This window comes from Homo sapiens, chromosome 4, assembly GCF_000001405.40.
Source record: "Homo sapiens chromosome 4, GRCh38.p14 Primary Assembly".
Lineage (NCBI taxonomy): Eukaryota > Metazoa > Chordata > Mammalia > Primates > Hominidae > Homo > Homo sapiens.
Window position 1 is genome coordinate 35,947,230 of NC_000004.12, and position 25,296 is coordinate 35,972,525.

The following is a 25,296-nucleotide window of genomic DNA, read 5'->3' on the forward strand; positions in this document are numbered from 1 at the left end:
AATATGTCCAAAGCCCAAATGTAGATGCTTAAAGGGTTCTTTCTCTTATTTCAAAAGATATTATTCTAGAATTTAAAAAATACTATTAACTTTCAAAATTCCCAATTAGTCTAGAATTTCTCCATTTAAAACCCAAAGCTGGGTGTATTTTATTAGTGTACTTTTTCTTCGAATTGCTCTGCTTATTAGTATTAATTGCCAACTGCAGAACATCTGAGTACCCGGGCCTGAAACTGTGGATTTGGAGTATGTTAAAACTACGTGTTAGACATATATTATAATAATTAATCTCTAAAAGTGTGGTTATTTTAAATTAAATTATTTTTGCACATAACCAAATAGATTCTATGGTACAGTTTTAATAAAGGTCTATCCTCTTTCTGAAAAAGCTTTTATCATCTCGCCTTTAGAGTCTTCTTCAATATAAATTGTGCAAGAGATTAACAAAGATTATATATTTAAAAATTCTGTGCAAGTATTTTGATATGTACTTCCAGTGAGAAAATATACATTTATCAAAAGAAATCTTCTCTATGGCAAAATAAATGTAAGCACTTATTTGTAGCTCATTGGCTTATACTATTTACAAACAAAAAAGCTCAACTGTTTCTGCCTCACAGAGATACACATGTGCACACAAACACACACACACAGAGAGAGAGAGAGAGAAAGAGAGAGAGAGTAATATACTGGGTGACTAAACATGAAAGTTTTACTAAATATCAAGTAAAAGTCAAGAAATTAATCAAAGCATACAATTAATGAAGATTGGCTCCAAGAACTAAGAGTTTCTAGAGAACTAGTAGAAAGAAAACATACAAGTTAGTTGTAAAATTAAAAGACAACGTTGACCTTAATGTTCTCATTTTAAAATAAAAATGTGGCCAGATTGGTAGAAATAATAAATGGAGGAAAGGGTGTAAAATTCATTAGAAATTTTCTCAAAGGAGGTGGCAAGATTTCTTTGAAAAATCAAGCTCCTAACAGAGTATGGGAGATTTTCTTTATTTTTAGTTCAAAATCTGTTATGAAGAAAGAGTTCCAGGGAAGAGAAATATAAATGGCAGCACCAGACCTCCAAAACACTGCAGAGTTCTAACACCTCCAGGAATTGCAGTTGTCTCTTCCGCCTACAGATTTCAATCATCCCTGCAGCCTCAGTCTTCAACCATCTGAGGACAACCCATCAATATAACTGATAACAAACCCAATCTGTGTTCTGGAAGGGAAAGTTAATAGTGAACATATTCAGAATACCATTTATCCCAGAAGACACATTGACATTCTAGAGTTAAGAAATATGGTTTCTTTTCACATTACTTTCATTGCGAAAAATTGTTGACTATTTTGGAGTTTAGTTTTTTGATTGCAATTTGAATGACAAATTAACAGAAACTACTGGAAGGCATCTAGAGGTTGTGTAGGTGAATGAAGCACTGATAATGTGTTACTCAAATCAATCCATTGTGTTATAAAGCAAACCCTTTTGTCCTTGTATGTTCTGTCTCAAGAGATAATTATAATACATATTTATTACTTATAACAATCTACTTTATATAATATAACATAATATTAATAAATATCTATTGATAAACTAATATTAGTATATTGATACCTTATTTTGATGTGTTTTTTATAGCTTTAATAAACTGAAAATAAAATAGAATATAGAATATTTTTTGTAAAAGAGGAAAAACAATCCTCTTTTATTCTACACTAAAATCACTGCTTCACAAAGAAAAACTTTGATGGACTAGAAACAAATAGTGTATGATATTTATATTGTGCTGTTACTCACATAGACATTAATACAATAACGCAATGAGCCCCGAATGGTGAGCCAAATGAATGAGTTAAGAGCATAGACTTTGGAGACAGATTTACTGGACTTAAATCCTGTATTTAATTAAAGTTGAATTGTTTATTGCAATTTAGCCTTGGGCAAGTCTCTTATTTCATCTATCCAATATGTAAATATTGAATGATATAGTGGTGATATTACTAGGGTTGTAAAAAATACAATGAGTAAAATATATGTTATGCACTAGAAAACACTTCAAGCATGTTATCATGGACAAATAAATATTTGCTATTAAATTGTATGTTTGTACATATACACAGACACAAACATGTTCTTTTCCAACCCTACACTACACATATATTAACTAAAATTGCCATGGGAGTTCTTTGTGAACAGAGATCTATTGTGAAAACAGAAATGGTTATGGAAACAGAAGGCTGGAGTTCAGTTCCCAGCATCAGCACTTTGTTCCCATTGTGCTGCAATTTATTGGGTATTTTAAATACTCCCCTTCACTAATTATTTTTTGCAGCTAATTTATCTATATTCCATAAATACAGTATGTATAGGCTTCATAAATTCCAAATAAATTTCTCTGGTTTACCCTGGATCTTGTACTTTATTCTTGAGCATACATTTTGTAATGTCTATGGCTATTTTCAATACTAGAGCAGTAAGACAAAAATTTAAATAGGTATTTATTATTTAAACAATTGTAGAGGTTTTATTTTCGGATTTCATGTGGGAAACAATGAGAGGAAAACACTGAAATTTAGACATTTTAATCTTTATATCATATTCAATTAGACTTTGAATCCCACAATATATCAGGGCTTGTAGTCATTAGAAGTCTAAGTATGTTGAAATATAAGAGTAAAGAATATTCTGTAGACCCCTTTTTTAAAATCTAGGTTAAAGATGTCAGTGTAATGGAATAAACAAACAAACAAAAAGCAGTGACTACTGTTAAATGTACATACTTTCCAATATTATTCCCATGTTTTTGCTTTGCCTCCTATGCGTATGTATTTTCACGTATGTGTTCACACACAGATGCACAAAGCTAGTGGACCTGTGGTGCATATTACATTGAGAAAATATCACATCTGTTGAACTTAAAGACATAATCCAGGGGAAAGTTAGGTTTTCTAAATGACTCCTTTTTGTCTCTTTCATTTTCTTAACATGTAATATATTGAATAGATATTTAAACATTTAATATATTGAAACTATAATGAAGAGTGTTTGTTATGAGAAAAGAGAGAGGACAGACAAGAGAAAAGAATGGCTAGAAGTTCAAAGTTCCACAGATCTCTGGGGCAGGGACAAAAAGCCACCAGTCTCTTTGCTAAAGCATAGCAAGAGTGAATTTTATTCCAGTTCCCAAAAAGTTTCTCATTTCCATCTGAGACCACTAGGCCTAGACTTCATTGTCTGTATCACTATCAGCATTTTGGTTCAAAGGCATTCGACAAGTCTCTAGGAAGATCCAAACTTTCCCACATCTTCCTGTCTTCTTCTGAGTCCTCCAAACTGTTCCAACCTCTGCTTGTTACCCAGTTCCAGTCACTTGTACATTCTCAGGTATCTTATAGCAATACCCCACTCCTGGTACCAATTTACTGTATTAGTCTGTTTTCACACTGCTATGAAGAAATACCCAAGGCTAGGTAATTTATAAAAGAAAGACATTTAACTGACTTGCATTCCTGCATTGCTATGGAGGCCCCAGGAAACTTAAAATCATGTTGGAAGGCAAAGGAGAAGGGCAGCAGGACACAGGGCAGCAGGACAGAGTGAGTGCAAGCAGGGCAAATGCCAGATGTTTGTATAACCATCATGATAACTCACTCACTATCATGAGAACAGTATGGGAGAGAAACCTCCCCCATGATCCAATTACCTTCACCTGGTCTCACCCTTGACATGGGGAGACTATGGGGATTACAATTTGAGGTGACATTTGGGTGGGGACCCAGAGCCAAACCATATCAAATAGCATCTAAGAGAAATATTTTAATCCTGAGGTACATAGACTACCAACCTTCCCAAGATTTTTGTGCCCCAAGTTGAACAAAAGCAGCAGGGTAGCAGCCATCCAAATGCATTAGGCAGTGCAGGGTAATAGGCTCCTTGACAAGAAGCTCTGTGGGTATAAAAGCCAGTACCTAAGAGACCTCAATGTTTTGACACTGTGTGAAATGTGGGATTATTTTATCTTATTCTAAGTAATAAATGTCACTATGAAGATTATAACTAAAATTCCCCCATATTAGTGAAATGAAGATCAACATCAAACTTAATTTGAATAAAAATGTTAAAGTATGTATAAAGACTTCTAGTTTCAGCTCTAATATGTAAAGATCTCAGTAATTTTTATTCTGAAACTTACAATAATAAAAGTCTAGATTAACTGAAAATGATCACTTTATTTGGACTTACAAAAGAGCTGAGTTTGCAGGGCAAACGACTATCATAAAAATTTGGAAGACAGATGAATCCAGAAAATCACAGCAGAGACCCGATTACCTGGAACAAAAGCCACTGGAGCCATAAAATGATGTTAAAGATAAATGGTAATTTTGAAAAACTGCTAGAGGCTGCATTGCTAGAACAGCATAAGATTTAAAAACTGAAACCAGAGTAATAATAGGTAGATCCCAAAACTTTCATAGGAAGGTACAGAAATGTAACCAGGTACTCACAGTAAAGATTCTGGAAAGACCACTTCCAAGCTCTGACTAAAGGAGAAGAAGAGTATTTATTGGGAAATGTACCCAGAGCCTTCTCCATAACAAAAGCTTTGTATTCAGAAGGAAAAATCTTACCATAGCCTTCTCCCAGACCATGTGGGATGGGCATTCCTTTCTCTCCAGCTCCCTTTAAACTTTTTGTCTCAATTACTGGAGATTGGAGATTATAGAATAATCCCGTTTTCATAATGTACTACCACACTAACATAACTGTAGTATAACAACAGTGGATTACAGCTAAACAATCTATATGACACAGGTTCTGACTGAGAAGGAACATGTAGGAGAGGCCAAAGTCAAGAGGAGACCTAAAAACAAGAGGAATTCAAAGCCTCTACTACCTATTGTTACAGCAAACACTAAACACAACCCAGCTTCTTACCACATTAACATAAATTCTCAAGTTTAAGCCTATTTATCTCAGTTCCTATTGCCAGATAACATGTCTGGCTTTCAGTTAAAACAAAAACGACAACAACAAGAAACATGTCTCATGCCAAAAGGCAGGTAAAAATACAATAACAAGAAACAATGAAAGTATCAGAACCAGACTCAGATATGAAACAAATGTTGGAATCATCAGACAAGAAATTTACAATGTCTAATGTTCATGTGTTAAGGGATATAATGGAAAAAATGGACCACATACAAGAGCAGATATGTGATGAAACCACAGAAACAGAAAATCTAAGATGCAAAAATAAATGCTAGATATTAAAAACATTGTTATAAAAAGTATTTTTGATGGTCTTAGCATAATCAAAACAGATCAGAAAAAAAACCTCAAAGTGATGTTAATAGAAACTTCCCAAACTGAACTGCAAAAAGAAAGACCAAAACCAAAAGCAGCAAAAGCATCCAAGAACTCTGAGACATTATTAAAAGATCTTTTCATAACTGGAATAGTGGGAGAAGAAAAATAGAGAGCAGAGCAGAAGGAAAAATATTTAAAACAATAATTGGCCAAGAACTTTTCAAAATTAATGACATACACAAAATAAGATTCAATAGCCCAGAGAACACCAAGCACAACAAATGCAAATAAAATACCATTTCACCTAGGAATATCATATTCAAGACAACCAAAAACAAAATTATGACAGAAGCTGGAGCATAGGCTGAACTCTTAACTATAGAGCAATAAAGATAAGAGTCACTTTGGACTTCCCATCAGAAACCATGCGAGCAGGAAGTGTTTATATATACAAATGTGTGGGTGCATGTGTATGCATTCTCAATTTTTATTTTATGTTAAAGGAGTGCATGTGCAGGTTTGTAAATTGCATGTAGCTGGGGTTTGGTGTCCAAATGATTTCATCACATAGGTAGTGAGCAAAATACCCGATAGGTAGTTTTTTGACTCTCACCCAATTCCCACCCTCCTCTTTAAGAAGTCTCCAGTGTTGGCTGTGCAAGGTGGCTCGCACCTGTAATCCCAGCACTTTGGGAGGCCAAGGCAGGCAGATCACGAGGTCAGGAGATCAAGACCATTTTGGTTAACACGGTGAAACCCCACCTCTACTAAAAATACAAAATATTAGCTGGGAGTGGTGGTGGGCACCTGTAGTCCCAGCTACTTGGGAAGCTGAAGCAGGAGAATGGTGTGAACCTGGGAGGCAGAGCTTGCAGTGAGTCAAGATCACGCCACTGCACTCCTGCCTGGGTGACAGAGCGAGAATCCATCACAAAAAAAAAAAAAAAAAAAAAAAGAAATCTCCAGTGTCTACTGTTTCCATCTTTGTGTCAGTGTATACTCAATGTTTAGCTCCCACTTATAAGCAAGAACATGCAGTATTTTGGTTATCTTTCCAGCATTAATTCACTTAGAATAATGGCCTCTAGCTCAATCATGTTGCTGCAAAGGACAAAATTTTGTATTTTTTATGACTGCATACTATTCCATGGTGTATATATACCACATTTTCTTCATCCACTCTACCATTGATGGGCATCTAGGTTGACTCCAGGTCTTTGTTATTATGAATATTGCTGCGATGAACCTACATGTGCATGGATCTTTTTGATAGAATGATTTATATTCCTTTGATTATATACCCAGCAATGGAACTGCTGGGCCGAATGGTGGTTCCATTTTAATTCTTTGAGAAACCTCCAAACTGCTTTCCACAGTGACTGAACTAATTTACATTCCTTCTAAAAGTATATAAACATTTCCCTTTCTCTGCAACCTCACTAGCATCTGTAACTTTTTGACTTTTTCATAGTAGCCATTCTGACTGGTGTGAAATGGTATCTCATTTGGTTTTCATTTGAATTTATCTAATAATTAGTGACAATAACCCCTTTTCCTATGCTTGTTGGATGTGTGTATTTCTTCTTTTGATAAGTGTGTGCTCATATCTTTGGCTCATTTTTTAATGGGGTTATTAGGCTTTTGCTTATTGATTTACTTAAGTTCCTTATAGATCCTGTATATTAGGTCTTTGTCAGATATAAAGTTTGTGTATATTTTCTCCCATTGTGTAGGTTGTCTGCTCTGTTGATAGGTTCTTTTGCTGTGCAGAAGCTCTTCAGTTTAATCAGATTCCACTTGTCTATTTTTGTTTTTGTTGCAATTGCTGTTGGAGACTTCATCTGAAATCTTTGCCAAGGCCTGTATCCAGAATGACATTTCCTAGATTTTCTTCTATGTTTTTATTGTTTTAGGACTAATGTGTAAGTCTTAATCCATCTCGAGGTGATTTTTGTATGTAGTGAAAGGAAGTGATCCAGTTTCAATCTCCTGCATAGGCTCATCAGTTATTCCAGCACTTTTATTGAATAGGGAGCCCTTTCCCCATTGCTCATTATTGTTGACTTTGCTGAAGATTAGATGGTTGTAGGAGTGCAGCTTTATTTCTGAGTCCTCTATCCTGTTACATTGGACTGCATTTCTGGTTTTGTACCAGTATTATGCTATTTTGGTTACTGTATCCTTGTAGTATAGTTTAAAATCAGATAGTATGGTACCTCCACCTTTGTTATTTTTGCACAGGATTGCTTTGGCTATTTGAGCACTTTTTTTTGGTTACATATGAATTTTAAAATAGTTTTCTTTCTAAATCTGAAAAAATGATATAGGTAGTTTTATAGGAATAGCATTGAATGTGTACATTGCTTTGGGCAGTATGGCCAATTTAACAATATTAATCCTTCCTATCCACAAGCATGGAATGTTGTTTTGATTTTTTTGTGTGATCTCTGATTTCTTTGAGTAGCATTTTGTAATTCTCATTGTAGAGATCTTTCTCCTCTCTGGTTAGTTGTATCCCTAGGTATTTTGGTTATTTCTTTTCTCCTGTTAGCTTTGCAGTTGGTTTACTCTTGTTTTTCTAGTTCCTGTAGGTGTGATGTTAGATTACTAATTTGAGATCTAAGTTCTTGATGCAGTGCTATAAACTTTCCTCTTAACACTGCTGTAGCAGTGTCCCAGAGATTCTGGCATATTATATCTTAGTTTTCATTTGTTACAAATTTTTGTTCTTTCTGCCTTAATTTCATTTTTCACCCAAATGTCTTTCAGTAGCAGGTTGTTTAATTTCCATGTAATTGTATAGTTTTGAGCAATTTTCTTAACATTGATTTCTTTTTTTATTGTGCTGTGGTCCAAGAATTTGGTTGGTATGATTTAAGTTATTTTTAATTTGTTGAGGATTGCTTTATGGCTGAGCATATGGTTCATCTTAGAGTATGTGCTATGTGAAGATGAGAATAATGTATATTCTGTTGTTATTAGGTGGAATATTCTCTAGATGTCTGTTTGATGCATTTTGTCAACTGCTGAGATTAGCTCCTATCTTTGTTAGTTTCATGTCTTTGTGATCTGTCAAACACTTTCAGTGGGGTGTTGCAGTCCTCCACTATTATTGTGTGGCTGCCTAACTCTCTTTGTAGTTCTCTAAGAAGTTGTTTTGTAAATCTGGGTGCTTCCATGTTGGGTGCTTATATATTTAGGATAGTTAAGTCTTGTTATTGAATTGAATTCTTTACCATTCTGTAATGCCCTTTTTTGTCCTTTTGGTCATTGTTGATTTACAGTGATTGATCAGAAATAAGCAAAGCAATACCTGCTGTTTTGTTTTCTTTCTGCTTGACAGATCTTTCTCCATCCCTTTACTTTAAGCCTCTGCTTGTCATTGCATGTGAGATGGGTCTCTTGAAGACAGCAAACAATTAGGTCTTGCCACTGTGCCTTTTAAGTATGGTGTGAAGTCCATTTACATTCTCAGTCAGTATTGATATGTGAGATTTGATCCTGTCATTGTGTTGTTAGCTATTTGTTATGTATACTTAATTGCATAGTTGCTTTATAGTTTAATACATAATTAAGTACATAAATGCACTTACTTTATTTATTTATGTATTTATTTTGAGATGGAGTCTTGCTCTGTCTCCAGGCTGGAGTGTAGTGGCGTGATCTTGGCTCACTGCAACCTTTGCCTCCCCGGTTCAAGAGATTCTCCTGCCTCAGCCTCCCAAGTAGCTGGGACTACAGGCGGATGCCACCATGCCCAGCTAATTTTTAAATTCTTTTTAGTAGACACAGGGTTTCAGCATGTTGGCCAGGATGGTCTCCATCTCTTGACCTCATGATCCACCCACCTTGGCCTCCCAAAGTGCTGGGTTTACAGGTGTGAGCCACCACATCTGGCAAATTCACTAAATTTAAATGTGTTTTGTGGTAGCAGGTATTGTTCTTTTGTTTTCATATTTAGTACTCCCTTAAGAATCTCTTTCTAGGCACATCTGGTGGTAACAAATTCCTTTAGTGTTTACCTGTCTGAAAAGGATTTTGTTTCTCCTCTGCTTATGAAGGTTAGCCTGGCTGGATATAAAATTCTTAATTGGAATTTCTTTTTGTTAAGGTTGCCAAAAATAGATCCCCAATCTCTTCTGGCTTGTAAGGTTTCAGCTGAAAGTTCTGCTGTTAGCCTGATGGTCTTTCTTTTGTACATAACCTGCTCCTTCTCTCTAGCTGCCTTTAGGATGTTTTCTTTTGTGTTGACCTTGGAGAATCTGATAACTATGTGTTTTGGGGATGGTCTTCTTATATAGCTTTTCACAGGGGTTCTCTGAATTTCCTGAATTTGCATGTCAATCTGTCTAGCAAGATTAGGGAAACTTTTGTGAACATATCCCCAAATATGTTTTCCAAGTTGCTTGCTTTCTCTATTTTCAGGAATTCTAAAGGGTAGTAGATTTAGTCTCTTGACACAATCCCATATTTCTTGGAGGTTTGCCCATTTTTAAATTTTTTTTCTCCTTTTTTGTCTTTCTGTATGATTTGAAGAAGGAGTCTTCATGCTCTGAAACTCTTCAGTTTGGTCTATACTGTTATCAATGCTTCCAATGGCATTATGAAATTCCTGTAGTAAATTTTTCATTAGAAGTTCATGTTGGTGCTTTCTTTAAATGGCTATTTTGTCTTTCAATTTTGGATCAATATACTGCTTTCCTTAGATTGGGTTTCAACCTTCTGTATCTGATTGAGCTTCCTTGCCATCCAGATTATGCATTCTATGTCTTTCATTTCAGCCATTTCTATCTGGTTAGGATCTATTGCTGGGGAACCATTACAGTTGTTTTGAGATAAGAAGACACTCTGGCTTTTGAGGTAAGAAGACACTCTGGCTTTTGAGGTAAGAAGACACTCTGGCTTTTAGAATTACCAGATACTTCTACTAGTTTTTCTCCTCTGTGTATGCTGATGTTCCTGTTATCTTTGAACTTTCTGTCTTCTGGATGGAGCTTTTTGCTTTTATTTTCTTCAATACCCTTGAGGGTTTGATTGTGGCATAAGTTGAGTTCAGTCAGTTGACATTTTTTTCTAGATGCTTTCAGGGCCAAGCTCAACTCATCAGTCCTGGGTTATGTGCTGTACCCTAGGGTGCTGGGATGAGGCCCACAGTTTTGTTCTCTTGTCCTTTGAGGTCAAGCACCTGCTGCAGTGGAGAGGCCAAGGTATTGCCAGTATACTAGCAACAACACTCTGACAGGGGCTGCCAGCAAAAGCAAAAGCACTGCAGTGAGGAGGCTGGGGGTCCATAACACTTTGTGCACCAGTGGGGCAGTGGGTGTTTGCAGGCACACTTGCAGGGTGGCAGGGATTTACACACACATGCATGGTGGGGGGCGGGTGTGGAGGAAGGCTGCAGGCAGGTGAAAGCTGTGGCCAGATGCAGGTAGGCCGAGGTTTGATATGGTTTGGCTGTGTCCCCACCCACATCTTATTTTGAATTCCAACATATTTTTGGAATGGCTGTATTTACCCAATGCCTGTACCCCCATTGTATCTAGGATGTAACTAACTTGCTTTTGATTTTACAGGCTTATAGGTGGAAGGGACTTGCCTTGTCTCAGATGAGATGTTGGACTGTGGACTTTTGAGTTAATGCTAAAATTAGTTAAGACTTTAGGGACAGTTGGGAAGGCATGATTGGTTCAGAAATGTGAGGACATGAGACTTGGGAGGGGCCAGGGGTGAAATAATATGGTTTGGCTCTGTCCCCATCCAAATCTCACCTTGAATCCCCACACGTTGTGGGAGGGACCCCATGGGATGTAATTGAATCATGGGGGTAGTCTTTCCCATGCTGTTCCTGATAGTAAATAAGTCTCATGAGATTTGTCAGTATAATAAAGGGGAGTTTCCCTATCCAATCTCTCTTTTTGCCTAATACCATCCATGTAAGACTTGACTTACTCCTCATTGCTTTCCACCATGATTGTGAGGCTTCCCCAGCAAAGTGGAACTGTAAGTCTATTAAACCCGTTTTCCTGTATAAATTACCCAGGATCAAGTATGTCTTTATCAACAGTGTGAAACAGACTAATACAAGTTTCATCTGAAAAAAGCACCCAATGTGAAGGCAGGGTCTGCTAGAGAAAGAGATACAGTGGTGGCTCCTGGATAGCATTGTAGTAGGGCACCTGAGGCTGCCTTGCAAGAGGGTGCAACTAGGCAGAAACCCTGCCAGTAGACAGTGGGGTGTTCAGATTATACTAGCCCATTTCCTGAGGCCTCCCCAGCAATGCGGAACTAAGAGTCAATTAAACCTCTTTCTTTTATAAATTACTCAGTCTCAGGTATTTTATTAATAGCAGCATGAGAACGGACAAATACGGGAGGACAATTTATAGTGTTACAGATCTAAAATCTATAACCTACATTTGTACTTCAGGAAACTGGAGAAAGAACAGCAATATGCGGCTAAAGTAATAAGAAGAAAATAAATAATAAAATATAGCACAAAAATCAATGAAATTTAAAACACAAAAACAATAGAGAAAAATTGAAACAACAGTACACTTTTTGAAATGATCAACAAAATTAAAAACATTCTAGTAAAGCTAACCAAGAAAAAAACAAAATTACTAATATCAAAAATGAAAGAAGAATCATCACTATATATCTCAGTGACATTAAAAAATAATAAGAAAATACTATGAACAACTTTGCGCCCATTAATTAGGTAACTTAAATAGAATGGACCAATTTCTTAAAAGAAACACTCTACTAAAATCACATGGGAGTAATAGATAACTTGAATATTTCTATATATAATAAAAATATAGAATCAATCATTCATTATCAGCATTCCCCTCCAGAGTGGTATACTTGTTGCAATTAATGACCTACATTAACAATATCACCCAAAGTTCATGGTATTACATTAGGTGTTGTACATTGGTGTTGTACATTCTTTGAGTTTTGACAAATATATAATGATATGTATTATAATATCATACAGTATAGTTTCACTGCCATAAAAATCTTGTGTGCTTTGATGATTCATCTTTCCTTCCCCTTATCCCCTAGCAACTACTGATCCTTTTACCATATCTATGGTTTTTGCCTTTCCCAGAATGCCATATGGTTAGAATCAAATAGTATGTGACTTCTTTTACTTAGTAATACACAAGGGGTCTTCAAACAATTCATGGAAAGTGTGTATTATAAAAAAAAAACTCTGCATGGATATCAACTTTTTTGGACCAAAATAAACTTGTACTAACTTGTAATAACATTGCTGAGCAGGACCTAATTTGAGGAAATACAAAGGATAAAACATCAGTTTGAAAAGAGCCCCTGTCAGAGCAACATAAATTTTGCTAATATTGAAGCAATAACAAACATCAAATTTGTGGTGAAGCCTGGGTGGAAGAGTGATAAAATCATTGGTGGTTTATGAAAAGTTTATTGAGACAATGCCCCAAATAAATCAGCAGTTTACAGATCAATAACTTATTCTAAGAAGTGATGGAGCAATGTTGAAGTAGAAGATTGCAGACGTAGACTATTCACATCAATTTGCAAGGAAAAAATTAATCTTGTTCATGTTCTATTTGAAGAAAACTAACAATTTACAGCTCAAACAATAGCCGAAACCATAGGCATCTCCATCTGTTAAGCTTACAAAATTCTGACTGAAAAATTAAAGGTGAGGAAATTTTCTACTTGATCGCTGGCAAAACCATTGCACTGAAATCAGCTGCAGACAGGAGCAGAGCATTCAATGGAAATTTCAAACAAGTCAGATCAAGCTCCTGAAACATTTCTTCAGGACCTCAAAGAATAGTAATGAGAGATAAAACATGGCTTTACCAGTGTGATCTTGAAGACAAATCACAAGCAAAGCAATGGCTAACAACAGGTGGAAGTGGTCCAGACAAAGCAAAAATCGATTGGTCAAGAGCAAAGGTCATAGCAATAGTTTTTTGGGATGCTCAAAACATTTGGTTGTTGATTTCTGCAAGGTCCAAGAACAATAATATCTGCTTATTATGAGGGAGGGGCTTTGAGACAGACAAAGCTTTAACAGAACAACGCCTGGAAAACCTTCACCAGAGTCCTTTACCACAACAATGCTCCTCCTCATTCCTCTCATCAAACAAGAGCAATTTTGCAAGAGTTTTGATGGGAAATCATTAGGCATCCACTTTATGGTCCTGATTTGTCTCCTTCTGACTTTGTTTTGTTTCATAATCTGAAAATTTTCTAAAAGGCACCCTTTTATTTCCAGTTAATAATGCAAAAGAGACTACATTGACATGGTTAAATTCCCATGACCCTCAGTTCTTTAGGGATGAACTAAATGGCTGGTATCATTGCTTACAAAAGTATCTTGACCTTGATGAAGCTTACGTTGAGAAATAAATCTTATATTTTTATTTTTATCTTTTAATTCCATTTACTCCATGAACTTTTCGAAGTCTCCTTTTACATTTTTTCTCCATGTCTTTTCATGGCCGAATAGCTAATTTCTTTTTAGTTTTAAGTAATATTCGTTTACATGAATGCATCACGCTTTATTTATTCATTCACCCACATGAGAACATCTTGGCTGCTTTCAAGTTTCAGCAATTATTAATAAAGCTGCTATAAATACCTGTGTGCAGGTTTCTGTGTAGACATAAGCTTTCACCTCCTTCGGGTGAATACCAAGGGGCACTATTGCTGGATCACATGTTAAGAGTGTATTTTGCTTTGTAAGAAACAGCCAAACTGTCTTCCAAGGTGGCTGTACCATTTTACATTTCTACCAGCAATGAGTGAGAGTTCCAGTTGTTCTACATTCTTGCCAGCATTTGAATTTTGCCCATTATAATCAGTGTGTAGTGGCATTACATTGTTATTTTTATCTGTAATTCCCTGATGACATACGATGTGTAACATCTTTTCAGAGCTGATGAGTTTCTAAATATGGCATCTGATCCATGAAGTAAAATGGATGGACTTAATTAAAATTGAAAACTTCCACCATGCAAAACACACTGTTTAGAATAAAAATACAAACTGGGAGAAGATATTTCACAACACATATTTGAAAAAGATTTGCATCCACAATATGCAAAGAAATTACAAAAATCAAAAATAAGAAAAAGACTAAATTTTAAAATAAGCAAAATATCTGACTAGGTACCTCACTAACAAAGATATACAAATGACAAATAAGCATACAGAAATGTTCAACATGATTCGTTGTTAGGAAATGGTAAATTAAAACAAGAATATGATACCGCTACACAACTATTAGAATGGCTAAACCTTAAAAATTGACCATACTAACTGCCAATGAAGATATGAAGCTATAGGAACTCTCATTTACTGCTGCTGGGAATAAAAACTAGTAAAGCTACTTTGAAAGACAATTTGGTAGTTTCTTACAAAGCTACATATAGTCTTACCCTAAAATCCAGGAATCATACTCCATAGTATTTACCAAACTGATTTGAAAACTTATGCCCACACAAAACCTGCACACAAATGTTTACAGCAGTTTTATGCATAATTTCCCAAACATGGAAGTAACCAAAATGTCCTTCAATATGATAAGCAAAATCGATAAACAAACCTGTCTTACCTCCATATTCAGCAACTTTAAAAAATGAGCTATCAAGCCATGGCAAAACAGAGATGAATCTTAAGCACACATTGTTAAGTGAAATAAACCAGTCCGGAAAAGCCACAAAATGCATGATTCCAATTATGTGACATTCTGGAAAGGGCAATCTGTAGAGATGATAAATAGGTCAGTGGTTGCCAGGAGTTCAAGTTGGTGGGGCGTGGGGAGGTTGAATGTGTGAAGCACAGGAAGTGTTTGCACTGTACTCTAACTGGTAGAGTAGTTTTTCAGAGAGAATGGGTTAACAATTGAAATGACAATACATTTATACTGAAACTGAGCTAAGTATATAAATTGTGGATGTTAGGAGCCAGATTTCTCACTGTTGGGGGTAAGAGTTTACAGATAAGCAAGGATAGGAAGCTAGAATGTTCATGCGGTAATGGAATGTAGTGGAAGACATCAGTGGGGACTCATGTTGAGCTTAATATCATTACTTTTAATGACAAAACTCACATTTACTTTTGCACCAACCTATTAGATATAGGTCGTTGCATATAGAAATGTCTGTAGGTAGGTGGATATATTAGGCTGATATGCATGCATATATTCGTTTTTTCTGTCGGCTGAGAAGCCCTAGAAGCAACCACATCTTAGTAGCAATGAGCACACCTAATGACCAGAATAAAAGGAATCATAGCTTCTTGGAAACGGCTGATTGTAGGACTGTGGCAGAAAGATGTACAAGATGAACCAGCAGCAACCGTAGTGCCAAAAACATAGAAAATGGTAATAATAATAATAATAAAACTACAATGCTGGTGGTATTTCAAAAGGATATGGCAGCCAATGAAAGATCTTTTAATGGCTGTAACTGGAATAATTTGAAGAACAAAAAGAAAATACCATTGGGTTATAACTCAAAATATTTTGAAAATACAAATATTTGTAATGATTGAATACACATTTGTATAAATAATTAGATGAGGAAAGAATCAACACATATCCTACATAGAATTCCTGGTAACTTATGCAGGTATTCCTCCTTCAAAAAAGGAGGATCCAGCTCCCACTTCTTGTCCAAACTGTGCACAGTGACTTCTTCCCAAAGAGCATGGCATAGAAAGGGAGGAAAAAAAACTTCCAGTGATAAATCTAAGACAGTACCCCAAGCTAGGTGATCGAGGTTAATATCAACAGTGATTACTTAAATTGGTAATATGTACTCTTGATATGAAGTGATGATGAGGGAAATTTGCCTTTTTGGTATTCCTTCTAAAACATAGTGACCCAGTCTAATTATGAGAAAAAAATAAAACAAGTTTGAATTTGTTCATTCCACAAAATATCTGGAACATTCCACAAAATATCTGGTTAGCATTCCTCAAAACTGCCAACGTCATAAAAGATAAGGGAAGTCTAAGAAACTCTCTCAACTGAGACAGCCTGAGAAGACATGACTGCTAAGAGTCACGTGGTATCCTGGATGGGATCTTGGAACAGAAAACGGGCATTGAGTAGATGAATAAAATATGGACTTTAGTTAATAATAATGTATCAGTATTATCTCATTAATTATAACAGATGCACCGTACTAATGTAACATGTAATTGATACTAAAGGGGGAATTGGAAATACAGTATATGAGAACTCTCTGTACTCTCTTGGCAATAATTCTGTTAATGTAATGCTGTTGTAAAGTTAAAAAGCTAATTTTCAGATTTATATACAATCATATATGCACATATGTGTATACGTGTGTGTGTGTGTGTGTGTGTGTGTGTGTGTGTGTGTAGGTATGTGTGTGTATAATGTTCCCATGAGGTCCAGCCTCATGTCTTGCCAATTTCTCTTGGTACACAGCACACCGAACTTCTTCCAACAAAAACTTGTTAGCAAACTTCTAACAGCTCCTCCATTATCACATGTTCTGTTTTGCCTCTGTACTGCCTCTACTAAAACTTTCCTCCCACCTTCTTCTCTATGACTAATGCATCCTCATTCTTTTTGTCTTCCACCAGGAAATTCCAGAAGTCTACTCTAAACCCAGCTAAATAACGAGGCTTTCCTAAGTATTCTGACAGTATCCCACACTTTTGTCAAATAAAAAACTTCTTTAATATTTATACCCACAGTAGAGTGGGAGTTCCCTAAAAGGAGAAACGAGGTGGGACCCGAAGCTGTTTCTAGAAACACACCACTCCCATCTCACCATCCACATCTCCTTGCCACACTTCACTTCACCATTTCACACACACACACTCACGCACTCACACAAACACACACCCTATCTGTAAAGCTTTTTTCACCTTTCCACTTTGTTAACTTGTTTATTGTTCAACCCTCAGCCAAGGGGTCACATTCTCCAAAAAGGTCTTCTTGAATTTATGGAGATTTTAAGTGATTCTTTAGCATCCTACTTCCTTGAACACGAAGTTATATTTGTGTTCATCTCTCCCACTAGTCTAAAAATGTCATTCATTTTTGTACCCCTATACTTTCAAAAAGGTCTGATACATAATAGAATGTCAAGAGATACTTAATGAACTGGCTTGAACTGAACTAGGCAGCAATTTTTCTCTGGAAAAAGCATACTAAAATTGGTGGTTCTATTTTTTTCCAAAAGGGAATGAATCAATTTGGAAACTGAGAGTCAAATTTCAAACAAAGTACCAGCAAATGCCTCGGGCAAACTAACTTTATTATTAATAGGACTCATAATCTACAACTAACTGTTCTTACTGCTGCTTTTAAAAGCCAAGTATTACTATTCTAAAACTAAAAATGAGAGATAGTTTCGATGAGTAATATTTTCAAGGTAATTCACGGAAATAATGTTGATATTCTTCTCCCTTGAAAATCTTAACATCTCTAAAACACAAAGTTATGTACAAAATAAAATAAATGCTAATTTGTAACATATTTTGTTATTTTGATTGTGTAAATGCATGGATATTTATTAATATTATTATTGTTATTATTATTATTATTATCTTACCTTTGTCTTCAAATATTGTAGAATGCCCTGGTCTATTTGTTCTTAGGACATTCCTTTACTCTCTTTTTTATTTGTTTCCAGAAAAAAAATGTGCCTTGTTCCAACTTACTAAATAAAAATTTAAGATCCTACTAACTTCAGGCTTATGTAATGTTAATGCATTTCTATTTTATTTTCCAATATACTTTGGTTTAAATATTAATTTTGGAAAAAAGTTACCAATGTAGCATAAAAACGTAGCTTTTTAAAAATAAAAGCATCAACAAAGACTAAAGAAAGCAGGATATTGTGCCAAAAAGAGACTTTAACAACTGTGTCATGGTCACAGAAGCCTGCTGTTTAAAAATTGATTTTTAGTTTGAAAACATTACTGGCAGGACCAGGAGTATGCAAAACATATTCTCTCATTAACAGAGCTGCTCTTTGGAGCATAAATGCCAAATGTTTCAAATTAAGGACAAAGAATACTTTGAGCCTTAGAATAATGTGCTGTAGAGCTGAAAGTATATAAAATTGTCTCCAACTAATATTTTCCTAAGCAAAAATATTTATAAAACTATAAAACCAAATACTGACTTGTTTTATACATAAGCATGATATACCTTGAGATCTTTTTTTCAGTATTTGCTTTTGAATAACTAAATTTTTCTAGAGAAGGAGAAAAAATTATCTTTTAAGTTAGTAGAGTGACCTTAGAATAATTTTCTCTCGAATCACTTATGCCCTCATTGGACATTAACTAAGTACCTGATGTGAACCAGGGATCGGGCTAGGTGATGCATACAGAGCATAGTCATTGACCTCAAAGTGCCCTAACTTTTATCGGGGATCAGACAACAAGGCAATCAGAACTCAACTACAGAGGCAAAACTATGTAGCCAGTTCAGATATGCTCGATGATGGCGATCATTTACCACAAAGCTTTAACAGTGTATATGTAGGATGTTAAGCATTTAGCATTTCCACCTAATATATGAAGTAGTACATAGAAGGATTTGAGATATGCTTCCCTAAAGAAATTCACAAAAGGCTTTTAAATTTGGTGCGTGTCTTGGCTGGCTCATTTATCAGGGTTGTCTTTCTCTTTGTCTTTGACTAGGCTATTTTACTACTCTATAGAGATAGAAATTTGTTTACAGTGCACTAATACTGATGTAAATAATTCCTGTTCATAAAACTGCAAATTATATTATTGAATGCAATTGATTATGGCCCTGTAGACATTCAAGAGTTTTGCCAGTTTGCACCCATTTGTAAATGTGTTTTAGCATCTCTTATCTGACTATAAATGTGCTGCTTTTGATTTATCTTACAAACCATTTGTCACATCTCACTGCTTTTTTCATTAATTAATGAGTCAAATAAAATCTTTGACATGTGATCATTTTATATCTCTATGAGAGTCATAATTTTATGCTTTTTAAAAAAATTATTCCTTAACAGGTGGATAAAGAAACCTTAAATCAGAAGAGTATCTCTGAATATTGGTATTATTTATATTTCAAGGGAATGATTCAGAACCTACCCAGGGTTCATATGCTGTTATCATTGGTACTTTTTGTTATGTATTCCTTTGGAAACTGAAAGTGATGAGCTGAAACCATGAGTTCCAGGATAAGTATGCCCCAGCAAAGAGAAAAATGTGAGACAAAAATCACATGGTAAATATTTAGAGAGACAGTCCATGGTTACTAGCAGCACTTATTTATTCTGACCAAAGTAATCAAGAAGCATATATACTCTGAAGCATGTGATGCCTCCTTTTATAGCCAACTGTAGAACACTGAGCCACATGTTCATAGCTCATGGAGTCACTTAAGGTATCTCCATTTGCTTTCAGAGCAATAACACTTTTTCAAATAAATTAAAAGCCTGACTGTTTAAATTGAATCACTTCATATCTTAAAAAGCAATCTTAAATGGAAGAAAATACAGGCTTTACATGTTTCTTGATGTAAATGAAATATACCAATTTACCAACTTGTCTGCAATATGGTTCAAAATAGTTATAGATAAGTGTGTACATAGAGATATATGTAAAAGGAACTTAGAATGAAAGTTCCAGAACACATAAGAGTCAGCAATATCCATGCTGGATGTGGTGCCTCATGCCAGTAATCCCAGCACTTTGGGAGGCCAAAGTGGGCAGATCACCTGAGGTCAGGAGTTCGAGACCAGCCTGGCCAACATGGTGAAAACCTGTCTCTACTAAAAATGCAAACATTAGCCGGGCGTGGTGGCATATGCCTGTAATCCCAGCTACTAGGGTGGCTGAGGCAGGAAAATCGTTTGAACCCAGGAGGCAGAGGTTGCAGTGAGCCGAGATCATGCCACTGCACTCCAGCCTGGACAACAGAGTAAGACTTCATCTCAAAAAAAGAAAAATAATCAATATCAAAGGTGGTATAGAAGTTAAAAAGTACATTGTCAATAATAGATTAAAAAGCTTTTAAATTCCATGCCACAATAAGAATATAAAAGCGTCAGATGATCATAGAGAAAAACAAAACAAAACAGGAGTGTTGAGGAACAGTCATTGGAGAGAGCTGTGCAGGGAGACATATATCCCCAACTGGGATGTGTCAGTTGTGCTACTTTCTAACTCCATGTAAACAGAGAGACCTTAAGGATACCACTTAGATGCTTAATATGCATCCCCACAGGGAAACACAGCGGACTTGTGTCTGCCACCTACCTGGAAGATCACAGGCAAGGTACAGGATTATTGTCCATGTATATAGCAAAGCAAAAAAAGAAACTTCTAAATTTGTGGCTGTTCACATTCTCAAAGTTTCTCTCAAAGTGGATAAAAGAATACCATCACCATTCCTATGGATAAAATGTTGGAGAAAAAGAGAATCAACATTAACTTGTCTTAGGTTTTGCTGTCAAAAAGGGTCACCTGGAAGGTGCAGCAGGCCTCACAAGAGAGAAGATAAAGGGACAGGCATTTGTAGTAATAAAATATGTCATCCTGAATGACCTGCAAAAATAACCTGAGCTTGACCGGGCGCAGTGGCTCATGCCTGTAATCCCAGCACTTTGGGAGGCCAAGGCAGGCAGATCACGAGTTCAGGAGATTGAGACCATCCTGGCCAACATGATGAAACCCCGTCTCTACTAAAAATACAAAAATTAGCTGGGCATGGTGGATCGTGCCTGTTATCCCAGCTACTCACAAGGCTGAGGCAGGAGAATCAACTGAACACAGGAGGCAGAAGTTGCAGTGAGCCGAGATTGAGCCACTGCACTCCAGCCTGGCAACATAGCGAGACTCCATCTCAAAAGAAAAATTAAAATAATAATAATAACCTGAGTTTATGAGATAAAAAGGTTAGAGAGAGATGACAAAACCCAGGCAACCTTTGTAATCTTATTACTAAAAAAAGAATAGAAATACACACACACACACACACACACACACACACACACACACACGTAATTGCAAAGGAACTGGATAATTCTAACATGTAAAAGCACATGTTAAATTCTGAATAAATAAATACAATAGTAAATGAAGGGTTTTACCTTTAAGACAAAGGGAATACAATGGTAGGGCACATAGGAAGGCTTGAGACTGAGAAATTATGGAGAGAAGGGCAAAATGAACACAGAATAGAGATAATAATGCAATAAGCATTTCCCAGACAGAGAATATGGCCAAGCTAGGCCAAGAAGGAGAACGTGCATTGATTGGGTATCATATCTGCAACTGCATACTTCAGTAGTTTGCTGTGATTAACTCTGTTAGTGTACTTTGTGTTCAACTGCTGATACTGGTGGCCGAAAATATAAATATGCCGAAAAACAAACTCACATATGACTTTCTGAAACTTCTTCTGTTATATTGATATCATTCCACTATTTACCAATCATGTACTATCTAATATGTTACAGTAACATTCTTTTTAGCAGAAGAGACTATCTCAACAGAGTAATAGAGGCTGTGACAGGAACAAGCAACCAGTGGTAGCAGAGAGTATTTGCCATTGTCAATGTAACTAAAGGAGAGATGAGCAAGAGTGGAGGGATTCCTGTTGGTGAGGAGTTCAAAGAACACAACAGTTCTCAAGAGTGTTTAAACTCCCGGCCCTAGATAATTCAAGGTCTATTCACAAAAATAGCAGTATTATAAAAACTTTCCTTCCCTTCTTGAATTTCTTCTTCCTGTTCCCAGTTCACCTTGAGGGAGGGAGAGAGTGATATTTAGATGAGAGAAAATTATTTTTGTAAAGTGAGAGAGAAAAAAGGTTAAATATCAAGGTGGAGAAAGAGAGAAGTAGCCATTTGTGTGTCCCTCCTGACTTCGATGCTTCCGTGTCCCCACCAAACAAGCTAGAGAAGGGAGGGATACTTAATTGTCAGCTATATGGCTTTGTATGATGACGGAGTGAGCCTGAAAACCACAGGATTGCCAGACAAAGGAAGATTCAGCACCATCCAATTAATTTAATGTATAATAGATAATGAAACTTGAGGTGCTTCATGCTGCAAGCCATTAGCCCTGAAGCATATACCTCAAAGATTAGTGTTGATAACAATCAAGCTGTCCAATTATCTGAATGGCATTTTGTTTTTGTTTTTTTGGTCCTTTTGTTTGTTTGTTTGTTTTGAGACGGAGTCTCACTCTGTCTCTCAGTCTGGAGTGCAGGGGTGCCATCTTGGCTCACCGCAACCTCCATCCCCCTGGGTTCAAGTTATTCTCCTGCCTCAGCCACCCGAGTGGCTGAGATTACAGGCATGCGCTACTAGGCTGGGCTAATTTTTGTATTTTTAGTAGAGATGGGGTTTCACCATGTTGGCCAGGCTGGTCTCAAACTGCTGACCTCAGGTGATCTGCCCACCTTGGCCTCCCAAAGTGCTGGGATTACAGGCATGAGCCACCACACCAGGCCACAGATACTCGAGGTTTACTTTAGGAAAAACAAAAACTAGATTTGATGTCTTTTTAAAAAGTTGGGACTATAGAGTCTAAAGCTGTTGCAGTGCCTTGGCCTCCCAAAGTGCTGGGATTACAGGTGTGAGCCACTGCGCCTGTCCCTGAGTAGCATTTTGTTAACAGACATAGAATAAACACATACACACACACACACACACACACACACTTTATTCTGTAAATTTTGTTTTCAGGAGACTATCCCTGTACTGTCCTACTTCATTCTTCAGATATATAGGCAAAGACTAAATTATAAAAATGCAGTTATATTATTATAGAAGAAAGATGGATACATCCAATACTATAAACAGGAAAAATATGTTAGATTTCATATGCCACTTATCTAAATGTACTAGTCAGGACAGTTTCTTTTGTAAGGCATGAAAACCTAACTCATTGAACAAAGGAGGTGGTGGGGGACTCCATCAACTCATAATAGGAAGTTCATAATTATACTAGTTTCAGGCATTGACTGAACCAGAGAATCAGAAGATACCTTCCAAAGTCTTACTGGTCTTATTCCCTCAGCACTGTTATTTTCTGTGTGGATTTTTTTCTTTGGCAAATAGGATTACATCAATCTTATAACTACTCATTCCAAGGGAATAGTGGTACCTATCTTTCAGTGGTTTCACCAAAACACCACAGAAGCATTCATCCATACTAGTTGTTTTGGTTTTATTTGCTTTCTCTTAAACTACTGCAGCCAGGAATGTACTGTTCTGACTGGCCATGGCTTAGTCATGTGCCCAGACTTATGGCATTGGGTCTGAACTACTCGGAACAAATTCATCATAAAGAAAGAAAATATCTATTACCAAAAGAAGGAAAGAGGAGAAATTCAAAGTGGCCAAACAGATAATTTTAGTCATCACAATGGCTATTAAAATAATGTCTTCAGAGTCATTTAACTGAGATTAGAAAATTGGGATAGATTTAAATGAATAGATGAGATATTGTATTGTGCACGTCTATAAATAACATATTTATCTTTATTGATAGGAAAATAGATGGGTAAATAAATATATACATAAATGGATAGACCATGGATGTTGACTTTTAAAAGGATATAGAGATATACTAAGATGATAGAATTCTCTAAAATATTAACAGATATTCTGTCTGGTGGTGAAATTATGAATAATCTATTTCCTTCTTTGTCCTTTTTGTCTCCATATTTAAGATATTGAATACACACATATATCAGAAAGTAATCTTTATAATCAGAAATAATCTTAAAATAAGTAAAAACTGCATTAAATCTGTCAAAATAATTTTCTGTCTCACGATGTTTACTATCTCAGTGAAAATGAAGTTTATTCTAGTGAAATCTAATGAGAGGAAACATTTGTTTATCAAAATGCTTGTAATCATAACCTCTTTTCTTCTTTTCTTCCCTGCACTTTCATTACTCTGCTTTTCCCCTCTCATAAATTCATAGGAAGTCATCACTAAAAGGGGCCTTTGGGGTATCTAGTCCCAGACCTTTATTTTGGAAATAATGGAACTCTAGTGCAGAAAAATGTGGGGACTTGCCATCAGTCAAAACAAACAAAAACAAAAACAAAAACAGAGTGGCAAAGTAAAACTATGTTCCTGGTCTGCCTGCTCTGAATCAGGTAACCCATTCATCAAATCTTTTTCTTATTCATTATTTCAACATGCATTAATTGTATCTAACATTTTCAGAATACTGTGCTAATTTACTGTAATATATACAAGGGCATATTTTGTCTGGTAGAGAATTATATATGTTCATATACAATATAAATATAACATCAGGTAAAAATTACTAAGTGTCTTAAGAGGAAATTTCTTTTTCTAGAAAGATGAGGATAAATCAGACCATGCAAACTGAAAACATAGTAGACTTCATAAAGCATATCTCTACATAAAAAGTACAATATGTTTTCCTTCAGATGTGTATTATGCAACATGTTCCTTAATGTGTATGTTCAACGTGGGTTACAAATATTTATTAGCTATTTTCAAGCCATACCTCAACTAGGAATCTTCCAGTCAATCTCCCAATTAGGGTTTCAGGGACACCAAACACAATTGGCCATGTGGTAGGAGTTCCCTTTTCAGTAATTAGAGAATATATTATTAATCATTTTATTCCATCAAAGAATTTAAACCAAGAAGGCTTAAAAGCCACAAGGACGGCTCCGTATCTCCTAGGAATCAAAAGATGTGACGTATCAGTATATATATATTGTGAAACCTGAAATATTTTGGTAACAAGATTATATATTAGTGCTACAAAAAGCAACAGAGAGAGATAGACGGTGAAGTAGATTGGCATTCTTCTAAACTGTATATGTGGCTGCAAGTTAATCTTGAGTTTCCATAAACCTTTAATTATATAATTTTACATCTTCATGCTATAAGAAATTCCTCACAAAATTCTATTTTATTAAAAATATACTGGTTTAATTAACATAAGAATGTGTATTGACGGA

The 25,296-nt window shown here is 35.9% G+C and overlaps 1 long non-coding RNA gene across 1 annotated transcript; it reads right to left on the reverse strand.

The window, feature by feature from the left end:
• Nucleotides 1-888: 888 nt before the first annotated feature.
• LOC105374397 (uncharacterized) lies at nucleotides 889-25,005 on the reverse strand. Its single transcript, XR_925191.3, has 3 exons — nucleotides 24,834-25,005; nucleotides 20,594-20,727; nucleotides 889-1,219 (listed from the first exon to the last, which is right to left on the reverse strand). It is a non-coding gene; the product is annotated as an uncharacterized LOC105374397 (long non-coding RNA).
• Nucleotides 25,006-25,296: the final 291 nt, after the last annotated feature.